This window comes from Homo sapiens, chromosome 7 (assembly GCF_000001405.40).
Source record: "Homo sapiens chromosome 7, GRCh38.p14 Primary Assembly".
Classification (NCBI taxonomy): Eukaryota; Metazoa; Chordata; class Mammalia; order Primates; family Hominidae; genus Homo; species Homo sapiens.
This window is the reverse complement of record NC_000007.14, coordinates 152297174-152311085: the sequence shown is the minus strand read 5'-3', so window position 1 is coordinate 152311085 and position 13912 is coordinate 152297174. Positions and strand designations below refer to the sequence as shown.

Below are 13912 nucleotides of genomic sequence, written 5' to 3'. Positions count from 1 at the left end.
ACTAATTTTGTTTGTTGAAGAAATAATCACTAATTCAGTTATTCTTAAACTTGTGTGTGCATCATAATAACCAGACGGCTTGTTAAATCACAGATTGCTGGCAGGGCACGGTGGCTCACAGCCCGTAATCCCAGCACTTTGGCAGGCTGAGGTAGGTGGATCGCTTGAACTCAGGAGTTCAAGACCAGACTGGGCAACATGGTGAAACCCTGTCTCTACAAAAAATGAAAAAAATTCCCGGAGTGTGGTGGCATGTGCCTGTAGTCCCAGCTATTTGGCAAGGCTGAGACAGGAGGATTGCTTGAACCCTGGAGGTTGAGGCTGCAGTGAGCTGTGTTCATGCCACTGAACTTCAGCCTGGGCAACAAAAAAAGTGAGACCCTGTCTCAAAACCAAAACAAAACAACAACAACAAAAAAAAACAGAACCAAACACAGATTGCTGGGCCCCACTGCACGAGTTTTTGATTCAGTAGATCTCACTTGTGATCTGCGCTTCTGCATTTTTTTGGTTTTTATTTTGAGACGGAGTCTTGCTCTGTTGCATAGGCTGGAGTGCAGTGGTGCGATCTCAGCTCACTGCAACCTCTGTCCCCTGGGTTCAAGCGATTCTCATGCCTCAGCCTCCTGAGTAGCTGGAATTACAGGCGTGCACCACCACGCCCAGCTAATTTGTAGAGACAGGGTTTTGCCATGTTAGCCAGGCTGGTCTCAAGTTCCCAGCCTCAAAAGATCCACCAGCGTTGGCCTCCCAAAGTGCTGAGATTACAGGAGTGAGCCACTGCACCCAGACAGATTCTGTATTTCTAAGAATTTCTCAGTTTGATATTGATACTGGCACTCAGTGGTTGGTCCACATTTTTAGAAGGGCCACTTTACTGCTATCACAAATACAGGATGCCATTGTATATTTACATATTAGAGTTGATTTTGAAGTTTTATGTCTTTATTTATTAGCTTTAATTTTTTTAATGTTTGCTCATTTGCTCCTTTTCATTTTTCCCATTTTAGGCACTTGTTGGGCTCATCACCGTTGTGTGGAGTGGTCACTAGGAGTATGCCAGATGGAAGAACCATTGTTAGTGAACGTGGACAAAGCTGTTGTCTCAGGGAGCACAGAAGTAAGTAGACAAAGCAAATATTTAAATCATAGTTTTATAACATTCACTTTAATCAGAAGTTCACTTGAAAGGATTATTAAATGATTGCTGTAGTGTAAAAGCTCTCAAAATAGGAAATTATTAATTTTTATTAAGAGAAATTCTAGGCCAGGTATGGTGGCTCACACCTGTAATCCCAGCACTTTGGGAGGCCGAGGTGGGTGGATCACTTGATGTCAGGAGTTTGAGACTAGCCTGGCCAACATGGTAAAACCCCTTCTCTACCAAAAATACAAAAATTAGCTGGGCATGGTGGCAGTCGCCTGTAATCCCAGCTACTTGGGACACTGAGGCAGGAGAATTTGCTTGAATCTGGGAGGTGGAGGTTGCCCGTAGCCAAGATTGCGCCATTGCACTCCAACCTGGGTGACAGAGAGAGACTCCGTTTAATTAAAAAAAAAAAAAAAAAAAAAAAAAAAGTTATTTTATGCAAAAATTAGCCGGGCATGCTGGTGCACATGTGTAGACCCAGCAACTTGGGGTGCTGAGGTGGGAAGATTGCTTGAGTCCAGTAGATTGAGGTTGCAGTGAGCCATGATTGCACCACTGCACTCCATACTCCAGCCTGGGCGTTGGAGTGAGACCCTGCCTCAAAAAAAAAAAAAAAAAAAAATTAATTTGTGTAAGCCATTGGAATGTAGTATGTTACTCAGTGAACTTGAATCTTTTAAAATAAGTAGTTTACATTTAAATTAGAAATTAAAATTTTAGAAATGAAAATTTTGCACTATGCTTATACATTCATGTGGTAACTTTTTAAGACAAAACTATTTGATAATGATTTAAAATGAAAGAAAATATTTGAAAAGATTTGAAGGTCATTAGTCCATAATGTGGACTACCTCTGTTTGATATTTTAAAAAGTGATTAAAAAAATTTTTTTAGTTCGGTCAGCAGTTCAGTTCATCTTTATTGCATTGTATCAAAGTAATATGTGCATAGTCTGCCATTTTTCAGAGCTTTTCCTGTGATTTTCATGTAATTTTGAAACAAATGCAAATGAAACGGCTTCCTCCCATCTATAAAGACAGCAAACTCTGTGAAGTGATACTGCTTTGCTGTCTACAAATTGCTTTTCTTTTTCTTTTTTCTTAAAATGTAGAGATGGGGTCTCACCATGTTGCCCAGGCTGGTCTCAAACTCCTGGACCCAAGGGATCCTCTCTTCTCTTCTTGGCCTCTCAAAGTGCTGGGAGTTTAGTTGTGAGCTACTGTGCCTGGCCTTCCTTTTTTTTTTTTTTTTTTTTTTTTTTTGAGAGGAGTTTTGCTGTGTTGTGCAGGCTGGAGTGTGGTGGCATGATCTCAGCTCACTGCAACCTCTGCTTCCTGGGTTCAAGTGATTCTGCCGCCTCAGCCTCCTGAGTAGATTGGATTATAGGCTCGTGCCACCACACCGGCTAATTTTTGTATATTTAGTAGAGATGTGGTTTCACTACGTTGGCCAGCCTGATCTTGAACTCCTGACCTCAGGTGATCTGCCTGCCTTGGCCTCCTGACGTGCTGGGATTACAGGTGTAAGCCACTGTGCCTGGCCCCTTTGGTTTTTAACAAGTATATTTGGGAGAAGTGAGACAGCCCTTCCAATGGAATATTAAAACTGGAAATTTTGACCTTAGAAACTATATGGGCTTTAATAGATAGAACATAGGCAAAGCTTTCAAAAGTATAGTTGAGACAAGGACTTAGATTCAAGTAAAAATTCAATCATTAGAACATTAGCTTTACTTGGATTATCAAAATGAACTGATTTACATAGATGAGTAAGCATCACCTCAAGAGTAGTGAAGTCAGAGTGCTTGTTTTGGAAATTTTACATTAAAGTGTATATGTCATCAAATTTTGAACAGTTTAATGCATAATAGTATTTTCCCCAGCCTGAACATTCTTAGAGACTGGATTAAGACAATGATATTTCAGTGAAAACCATCTGTTTTATGAATTACTTCATAAAAGTAATTTTTATTTTGGGCTATTTTGTGACAGTGAAAAGTATTACAGGGAAGGTAACAAAGGCTAAATGAGCTTTTTGGTGGTGGATTAGAACCAGAGGAATCAATATAAACTCGTAGTGTTTGATACTTAGTACAGAAATGTAGGTGTATGTATTTGCATGAGTTTGTATGTGTCCATGTATTTCCTACCTCTGTTTGCTAGGAAGGTAGTTAAAAGAAAACTTGCCTCACTCTGTCCCTTTTGGACAGAAGTTACCATTTTTGTTCTTACTGATTAATAATTAAATGGTATTTAGAGATGAAGACTGTGTCCTACCACTGGCAGAGGAATCACAAGCCCTTAGGAGACATTGCATCCCTTCCGACTTTGTTTAGGCATTAGAATTTGGTGGGCCTAAGCAAGTTAAATGCAGATTGAGTACTTGGAGTTGGTAGACCATGTGGGGATTAGAAGGGATCTAGTGGTAACTCTGTCAAATCTTTACCTCTCCACTAGATTGAATCACTCAAAACTCACAGGAGTGTCAGTTTTGTGTCGCCATTTGTACGGTTGTTTGTTTTGTCCTTCTTCCTTCTCCCCTCCCTTCCTCCCTCCTTCCCTCCCTCTCTCCCTCTCTCCTTCCCTCCCTCCCTCCCTCCCTCTTTCCTTCCTCTTCTGTCCTTCGTCTTCCTTCCTTCCTTCCTTCCTTCCTTCCTTTCTTTCTTCCTTCCTTCCTTCCTACCGTCCTTCCTTCCTTCCTTCCTTCCTTCCTTCCTTCCTTCCTTCCTTCCTTCCTTCCTCCCTCTTCTTTCCTTCCTTCCTCTTCTTTCCTCCCTTATTTCCAGGGTCTCACCCTGTTGTCCAGGCTGGAGAGCAGTGGCATGATCACGGCTCATTGGCACCCTTGGCTTCCCAGGCTCAAACAGTTCTCCCCCGAGCCTCCCGAATATCCGGGACCACAGGCATGCGCCACCTCGCCTAACTAGTTTTTAAATTTTTTGTAGAGGCTAGGTTCTGCTGTGTTGTCCAGGCTAGTCTCTATCTCCTGAGCTTAAGCGATACTCCCACCTCATCCTCCCGAAGTACTGGGATTATAGGCATGTGCCACCACGCCTGGCTTTTGTTCATTATTCTTCATTATCAAATAGGCACAAGATGGACCAGTTAGCTAGAACTTTGTCTCAAGAAAGGAAGACTTGTCTCACTGGCAAAAATTCAAACATAAAACAACACATTTGTTGACAGGGCTGTGGGGAAACAGGTACTCTCATTCTTTGCTGCTGCAGATGCAAATTGGTACACATCTTTTGGAGGGAAATTTGGTGATACCTAACAAACTGTATGCATTTACCTCTCAATTATTCTAGGAATCTATGCTGAATATGCCTCTAACAATACAAATTATGTATTACTTAATGTTATTAATTATAGTATTATTTAATTTGCGAAATATTGGAAACAAACTAAATGCCCACACAGAGGAGAAGGTTTGAATAAACTGTGTTACATCCATATAGCCATATAATGGAGTACCATGCAGATAAATCAGAAACTAGAGATTGGTTACCTGTAGGGAGTGGGAGGGAGAAGAAGGGAGTGGAGATCTGTGTAGCATGGATGAAATGTGAGTGGCACTTCTCAGAGTATATTTGTCAGTATAACTCTGATTCTTAGAACCATAGGAATGTTTTAAATGCTTCTATGCAATTGCCACCAACCAGGATGTGGGAGACCAAATAAGCAATTACCACCTACCCAGATGCAGGAGAACCCAAAAAGGAATAGTAAAATTCACATAAAAGAGGATAGGGAGGGAAAGAACTCACCTAAGTAACTGTAGAAAATAGTGTCTTGATTAAATAACATAAAACTAGAGGCAAAAAGAACTGTACAGTCATGCTGTAGTGTTGAGATCAGAAGTATGAAAATAAACTCATGTTTTTTAATATTTACACAGACATACAGAAATATAGATGTGTGCATATGTATGAGTTAATTTGAATATGTGTATTTCCTACCTCTATCCCCTGAGAGGGCATAGAAACAATGACACCCCAGTAGCATTGAGAATACCTAGTGCTTAGATCTTGGTCTCCAACCATTGCTCTTCAATGAAAGGAACCAGGGCTCCTTGAGAAGTAGTTCCTTACGGGACTGGTGCAGAGAAAATACAAGGTAAGCCTAGATCATCTTGTGGTGCCAGAAAGTAATGAAGTGCTTAAAAAGATGAAAACCTGTTCAAAGCACGGGAACCTACCTGAAGGAGCTCCTAAGAACTGGACCAATTTTAGCAACCACAAAAATAATGATAATATTGCATTTTCATCCATAGAATAAGTACACGAGTCCATACTGATGTAAATAGATTGTCCAGTCATGTCACTGCTCTACTTAACACTCTTCAGTGACTTCCCATTTTATTCTGAGAAAAAAAAAAAAAAGATTCCTTGCTAACCTGTAAGGCTCTACATGATCTTCACCACACCTCACGTATACTTCTCAGACATCTTTCACTATAACCGTTTGTTCATTTACTTCCTTCAGCCATGCTGACCTCATTGGTCTTACTCAAGTACGCAGACGCAGATCCACCTCAGGGCCTTTCATAATGCATGTGTTGCCCCCTCATATCCTTTATGTATTTATTCAAGCGTGACTTTACAGTGAGGCCTTTGCTAGGCTTGCTGTCAAAGATTTCAAATGCCTTCCCATAATATCTGCTTTTTTGTTTTCTTTTTCGTACTTATCACCTCTGACAGAGTGTATATTCACGTAATAATCTTACTTATTGTTCATCTCCCTCTCACTAGTATACTAGTGCCATTCGGATGGGGTTTTTTTCTGTTTTGGTTATTCCTCAGTGAATATTTGTAGACTAATTAATAGCACTGAAGATCATTCATGGAATCATTCATAGGCAGCAAATAAGTTCTAAGTACCCAAAAGTGTTACTGGAGGTTATCAATATGGCTAATTACATGAAAGTTTATATACTTAATCTCTAAATAGAGCAAATCTTTACAGTTCTACAGAAATGATTGGGAAGGAGGAGCCAAGGAAAATTTCTGCTATCACAAAAGTTTCCCTAGGGGCGATATAGCTATTGAACTTAGAAGACGTTTTTATTTTGCCAAAAGGTCGATTTTGCTGACCTTGGCTAGGTGCAGTGCCTCCCACCTGTAATTCTAGCATGTTGGGAGGCCAAGATGGGAGGATTTCTTGAGCCCAGGAGTTTGAGACCAGCCTGAGCAACATAGTGAGATCTCGTCTCTATTAAAATAAAAAATGAAAAATGAAATTTGCTGACCTTTATTATGTAGCTGAGTATATTCTGATACCTAGCTCTATTTTCAAAGAAAACAAACACTTAACCTGCCCCTTCAAGATAAAGATGACATTTCAACATTGAGAATGCAGTGACTTTTCAAAGAAACATGTCCTGGGGCGTTGAACATTTTGAAAACAGATGTTTTGAACTATTTATATTGATATTTTATTGTCAGAAATAATGAAGGTTGTAAAAACAAAACAAAAAACTCTCATGTTTGTCACCTTAAAAGAAACTTGAACATGGAATTTTCTGATATGTTTAAAATATTCTAAAGAGCTCTGGTTTAAGCCCATTTATTAAACATTCAATATTTTTATTAGAGAGGGTGAAATTTTATTTGCTTAAATTTTGATAATTTCGGTTGAGATTTAAAAATGGTTGCAGAAATCATGTACTACTTCTAATTAGATCATTTTACTTTTGGGGAGAACCTGTTTTTTTAAACCTATGAGAGCCATAGAAACTAGGTATTAAAATAAACCAAAGTTAGAATTAGGCTTTTTAATCTAAGAAAATGGAAGGGAATGAGATACTATAAAGCTCAGGTGAGGGGTTGCAGTATTTTGTAAATTTTTTGATTGTGCACATCTTTTAATAAGAAATGTTTGAGTATGCAGCTTTATTATACATTCTCAGTGGAATATGTATGTCTTCTCTCTCTTTTTTTTTGTTTTTGGAGACATAGTCTCTCTCTGTCTCCTAGGCTGAGATTGCAGTGGCGCAATCTCAGTTTACTGCACCTTCTGCTTCCTGGGCCCAAGTCATCCTCCCACCTCAGTCTCCCAGGTAGCTGAGATCATAGGCGTGGACCACCACGCCTGGCTAATTTTTGTATTTTTAGTAGAGACAGGGTTTCGCCATGTTGGCCAGGCTGGTCTTGAACTCCTGGCCTCAGGTGATCCGCCTGCCTTGGCCTCCCCAAGTGCTAAGATTACAGGCATGAGCCACCATGCACAGCCATGCATATCTCCTTTATGTAACTTAACATCTGCAGCGTTTGTTTGTGTGAGTTTTTTATTCTGTCTGCATTTGTGTATGTGAGTCTTTTTCTATGGATTTTTCCCACCATGGCTGTAAGCACCATGAGAGTGAGGAAAATAGCTGTTTTGCTTTATCATATTTTCTCTGGTGCCTAACAAAGTATCTGGAACACAAGAGAGTCACTAATGGGATAAATACATGCATTAATGGGATTTGTCAATGAAGGGCAAAATTTAGTGCATTAGCTTGAATGAGGAGGTAGGTCCTACTGGCTGGCCTCTTGGGTAGAGGCCAGGACTGCCGCTAAACATTCTGCAATATGCAGGACAGCCTCCCACACCAAAACTATACAGCTTAAAATGCCGATAGTGCTGAGGTTGAGAAATCCTGGTTTGACATATTATTCCTGTGTTAAAATTAATATATTTAAAGTAATTTCCTCGGTTGTTAACATGGCATTTTTGTCAAGCAATTTTGTTTTCTCTGAAACATACCTCAGATTGTTTTTAGTTTTTCCAGGGGAAACTTTATTCATTTTTTACTAGAGAAAAGAACATGGCAAACAGTGAATCTGTGTTTCAGGAAGGGTAACGTCGTTTTTCTTTTAATTTCCCTTTTGAAGCTCTCAGGGTGCTACCAACATCTTGGAAATCTGGATAATTTGAGTATTACTGAGGGAATATTTTCATTCTACATGCTACAAATGTTTAATCATTTTATTTATCTAAAGTTCCTTTCTTGGCCAGGCGCGGCGTCTCATGCCTGTAATCCCAGCACTTTGGGAGGCTGAGGCGGGTGGATCACCTGAGGTCAGGAGTTCGAGACCAGCCTAACCAACATGGCAAAACCCTGTCTCTACTAAAAAAATATAAAAATTAACCGTGTGTGGTGGTGTGTGCCTGTAATCTCAGCTACTTGGGAGGCTGAGGCAGGAGAATTTCTTGAACCCAGGAGGTGGAGGTTGTAGTGAGCTGAGTTTTCGCCACTGCACTCCATCCTGGGCAACAGAGCAGGACTTCTTCTCAAAATGAATGAATGAATGAAAGAAGGAAAGGGAAAGGAAGCTCCTTTCTCTTCTATTCCCAGTATTGCCCCCCAAAAAGAAGTAATCCATAAACCCCCAATGTATATTTCTGTTTTCTTAACTATTTCTGAATAAAATGTTCAGTGTTGGCTGGGCATGGTGGCTCACGCCTGTAATCCTAGCACTTTGGGAGGCTGAGGCTGAGGTCAGGAGTTTGAAACCAGCCTGGCCAATGTGATGAAACCCCCTCTCTACTAAAAATACAAAAATTAGCTTGGCATGGTGACGTGTGCCTGTAATCCCAGCTACTCGAGAGGCTGAGGCAGGAGAATCACTTGAATCCTGGAGGCAGAGATTGCAGTGAGCCAAGATCGTTCTATTGCACTCCTGCCTAAAACTCCATCTCAAAAAAAACCAGGTGTTTTACTCTTAAAATAAGACATTAAAAAAATACTTCTGTTGTCTCCCCTCATAGAATTGGTAATCTCTTCCTTCTCCACCCTCATCCCCTGCTGTAATTCTATATTGAAATTTCATTGTATTTTGTGCCAGATGTCTTTGTGTAAAACCAACTTAGTTCTGTGAGAAGAGTTGTACGTTTTTAATATTTTTGTTCTTTTTGTAGACTGCAGAAACAAAAATAGCCTTCCTATAGTAAGGTGGCAATTCACATTAAGAATGTAGATAGGCAAATTTAAACTTCTAAATGTAATTTGTCTAAAAAAGTTGAAAAACAGTGTATAGTAAAAGTCTCTCCTCCAACCAATGGAAAGTACTTTTATGTAAGATCCTTTAAGTTACTGACTTGAATCTTTACGTAAGGTAATTTGCTAGTATCTATTTTATAAATAATGTTATTTAATACTGTTTTATTTTCTATAGAATCCTAGTGTTTTTCCATGTAAATTTTTAGAAATTCTTAAAGTATGTATCCCTCATTTTCCCCTATAGTTGTTTGCTTCTACTTCTGTTTTTAAGAGATAGCATCTCAGTTGTTTAAGCTGGAATGCAGTGGCACGATCATGGCTTACTGCAACCTTGACTTCTTAGGCTCAAGCAGTCCTCCCGTCTCAGCCTTTAGAGTAGCTGGGATCACAAATGCATGCCACCACACCTGGCTAACTTTTCTTTTCTTTTCTTTTTTATTTTTTTGAGATGGAGTCTCACACTGTCAGCGGGCTGGAATGCAGTGGCATGATCTCGGCTCACTGCAACCTCTGCCTCCCGGGTTCAAGTGATTCTCCTGCCTCAGCCTTCCAAGTAGCTGGGATTACAGGTGCCCACCACCATGCCCAGCGAATATTTTGTATTTTTTTTTTAGTAGAGATGGAGTTTCACCGTGTGGGCCAGGCTGGTCTCGAACTCCTGACCTTGTGATTTGCCCACTTCGGCCTCCCAAAGTGTTGGGACTACAGGTGTGATCCATCACACCCGGCCAACTTTTCTTTTTTTTTTTTTTTTTAGGAGACAGGGTCTTGCTCTGTTTTCCAGGTTGGTCTCAATTCCTGGGCCCAAGCAGTTCTCCCACCTGGGCCTGCCAAGGTGCTAGTATTATAGGCGTGAGCCACTGCGCCCAGCCCTTTATAGTTTTTTTCTTTTTTTTGAGATGAAGTTTCCCTCTGTCACCAGGCTGGAGTGCAGTGGCGCGATCTCGGCTTACTGCAACCTCTGCCTCCCTGGTTCAAGCGACTCTCCTGCCTCAGCCTCCCGAGTAGCTGGGACTACAGATGTGTGCCAGCATGCCCAGCTACTTTTTGTAGTTTTAGTAGAGACGGGGTTTCGCCATGTTGGCTAGGATGGTCTCAATCTCTTGACCTCGTGATCCACCCGCCTCAGCCTCCCAAAGTGCTGGCATTACAAGCGTGAGCCACTGTGCCCGGCCAGCTCTTTATAGTTTAAGAGGAAGGATAAACCTTAAGAGATCACAACCATATATTTGTGTCAGGGGTCCACAAGACTGCCTCCATGTTTGGAGATTTGCTAGAAGGACTCATGGGATCAGCTTAGGGTTGTAATGGCTAAGATTTATTACTGTAACATAGTATGGATATATAGTAGAAAGACCTCAATGGCAAAAGACACTGACAGAGTCTGGAAAAATCCATGTACCAGCTTCCTTATGTGCTGTGCCTTCCATGAGGATCACACAGACTACCTTCTTTCCCCCTTAACGAAAATACAACAACATATGTGACTGCCCAAGAAACACAGTTTTTATCTAGGCTGGTCATGTAGGTGTACTCTCTGCCTAGCATGTGTGAAATTTCCAGACTCATAAAAAGAATAGCAGGATAAGCCACATTATTTCCATAGTCTAGATATAGTAAACCATGATTACCAGTTAGGGAACCCTCTTGAAATTCAAGTTCTCAGAAGCCAGCCTAGGACCAACTGTGCAAACAGACAGACCCTCCTTCACAGGATAATGTAATAGTCTCAGATCTGCTTTGTTAATTTTTGTTTGCATAGAGTTTTATAATTGGAAGGTGTCTCAAATGCTACATATTTCTGTCTAATGGACTATAGTAAGAGTGTTGTATAGTATATAACATTGAATTATTCTCCATTATAGACAGGCTGTGATAAGTGTTCTAATGTTTATACAAAAGAACTTTGTAACTTTGAGCAGAGTAAAGAGACTGTTAATGATACTTTTGACTGCAAGTAGTAGAAAAATGTTGTGTTTAACTCTGAAATATGCTTTGCCTCATATTAGTATTTCTACTCTAGCTTTCTCTTGACTAGCGTAAGCATGGTGTATATTATTCCATTCTTTTATTTTAACCTGTTTGCATCTTTGTATTTAACTTGTGTTTCTTGAAGGCGATAGTTTTATTTCTCTGATAAAAACATATAAGAAGACAATCACATTAAATGTATATGGTCTAAAACCTCTGCTTTTTAATTGGGGGTATTTAGACCATGTACATTTAATGTGATTGTCTTCTTATATGTTTTCTATTTATCTCTATCTGTTCCTTGCATCATTTTTCTTGCATCCCCCACCTGCCAAGATGGGGTCTTACTCTGTCACCCAAGCTAGAGTGCAGTGGTGTGATCATACCTTACTGCAGCCTTGACCTGCTAGGCTCAAGTGATCTACCTCAGCCTCCCAATAGTGGAGACCACAGTTGTGCACCACCACACCTGGCTACTTTGTTTTATTTTTTTATATATGGGGTCTCACTATGTTGTCCAGGCTGGTCTCATACTCCTGAGCTCAAGTGAGTCTCCTGCCTTGGCCACCCAGAGTGCTGGGATTACAGGTGTGAGCCATTGCACCTGGTCTTCTTGGATTCTTTTACTTTATTTATTTATTTATTTATTTATTTATTTATTTTTTGAGATAGAGTCTCGCTCTGTTGCCAGGCTGGAGTGCAGTGGCGCTATCTCGGCTCACTGTAGTCTCCGCCTCCTGGGTTCAAGCGATTCTCCTGCCTCAGTCTCCTGAGTAGCTGGGATTACAGACGTGCACCACCACACCCAGCTAATTTTTGTATTTTTAGTAGAGACGGGGTTTCACCATGTTGGCCAGGATGGTCTCGATCTCCTGACCTTGTGATCCGCTTACCTTGGCCTCCCAAAGTGCTGGGATTACAGGCGTGAGCCACCGTGCCCAGCCTACATTATTTATTATGATTCCAGTTTGCCTCTTTTTATTACTTTTACCTGTTTTTAAAAATTATTTTTGTAGTTGCTTTAAGATTATAGTGTACATTTAGAGAGGTCTACCTTCAAGTAATATTGTACACTTCATCTATAATAAAAGCATTCCTTCATTTGCTTTCTTTTCCTCCCTCGTGCACTTTGTGCTATTGCTGCCATGCATTTGACTTTTATATATGTTATAAACTCTGTAATATTTTGCTGTCTTTTATTAAACATATATCTCTTAGAGATTTAAATAATAAAAAATTTAAAAGATGTTTGCTCATATAGTTACCACTGTGGTGCTCTTTATTCCTTCGTATTGATCCAGATTTTCATCTGACATCATTTTGTTTCTGGAGAATATCCTTTAACATTTCTTGCAGTGAAAGTCTCCTGGTGATGAATTATTTCATTATTTATGTTTCTGGTGTGCCTTTATTTCACCTTCATTTTTGAAAGATATTTTTGCCAGGCATGGAATTCTAGTTGGCCTTTTTTCTTCTAGAACTTTAGAGATGTACTGCTGTCTTCTCACTTGCATTGTTTCTCAAAAGAAATCTGATGTTGTTCTTATCTTTGTTCTTCTATAGGTAACATGTCTTTTTATACAGCTGCTATTAATAATATATCCCTGATTTTGAACAATTTGATTATGTTATCCCTTAATGTAATTTTCTTCATGTTTCTTGTGCTTGGGGTTTGCTGAGTTTCTTGGATCCGTGAGTTAATAGGTCTTTTTATGGCTAGAACATTTTCAGCAGTTGTTTCTTCAAGTATTTTTTTTCTCTTCCTCTTTTTTCTCCTTTGGGGACTCCAGTTACCTGCATATTATTAGGCTATTTGAAGTTGCCTGACTGCTCACTGATGCTTTTTAAAAATCACTTTTTAAGATTTTTTTTTTCTTTTTGTACTTTAGCTAGTGTCTGTTCTTGTATCTTCAAGTTTGCTAATCTTTTCTTCTGCAGTTTCTAATCTGCTTTAGTTCATCCAATGTAATTTTCATCTCAAATGTTTTTGTCTTTGAAAGTTTGATTTTGGCTTTTCTTGTTTATCTCCCATGTCTCTATTTAACTTTTTGATTATATGGGATACATGTATAAAAACAGTTGAATGTCCTCCTCTGCTAATTTTAACATCTATTTAAGTTCTGGGTCAGTTTTGATTGATTATTTTCAGTTTGCATCATGATTGTCTGCTGCTTTTTATGCCTGGTAATCTTTATTTAGTTGTAAAATTTACCTTGGGTTCTGGCTATTTTCTTTATTCTATAAATCTTCTTGAGCTTTGTTTTGAGATGTAGTTGAGTTACTTATAAACCGTTTCATTCTTTTGGGTTTTGTTTTTATGATTTATTAGACAGATATGAAGGAGTGCTTAGTCCAGGACTAATTATTCCTCACCACTGAGGCAAGACTTTCTGTGGACTCTGTTGAATGTTCCATGAATTAATAGTTTTCCCAGTTTGGCTAGTGGGAACAGATACTATTCCTGGCTTTGTATGAGTATCAGGCCCTGTTCCCTCCCATTGTTTCTGATGGTTCTTTTTCTGGATTCTCATAGTTTCCTCATATGCATATGCTGATCAGTTATCTGGTGAATGCTTGAGAGAAGATCTCTATAGACCTCTGGGGTTCTTTTCTATGCAACTGTCTCCTCTCAGCATTCTGTGCAGTTATTCCTTGCTGCTTTTTTCTCTCCTGGCTCTTAACTTTCTCTTTCCAACTCAGGAGTCAGCTGAGATTTGCCTCAGTTGCCACTCTCTATGCCATGGCCTGGAAACTCTTATCGTTGTGTGCTGGGGCATATGTAGGGCTCACCTCTTTTGTTTCTCATTT

At 39.7% G+C, this 13912-nt stretch overlaps 1 protein-coding gene across 1 annotated transcript in view; it reads left to right on the top strand.

Annotated features, from left to right (window-relative positions):
* Positions 1–13912, top strand: part of KMT2C (lysine methyltransferase 2C) — a 301079-nt gene that overhangs the window by 124918 nt on the left and 162249 nt on the right. Inside the window, exon 6 of the mRNA NM_170606.3 lies at positions 1011–1120. Coding sequence (NP_733751.2) covers positions 1011–1120 — 110 coding nt within the window. The remainder of the gene's footprint in view (positions 1–1010; positions 1121–13912) is intronic.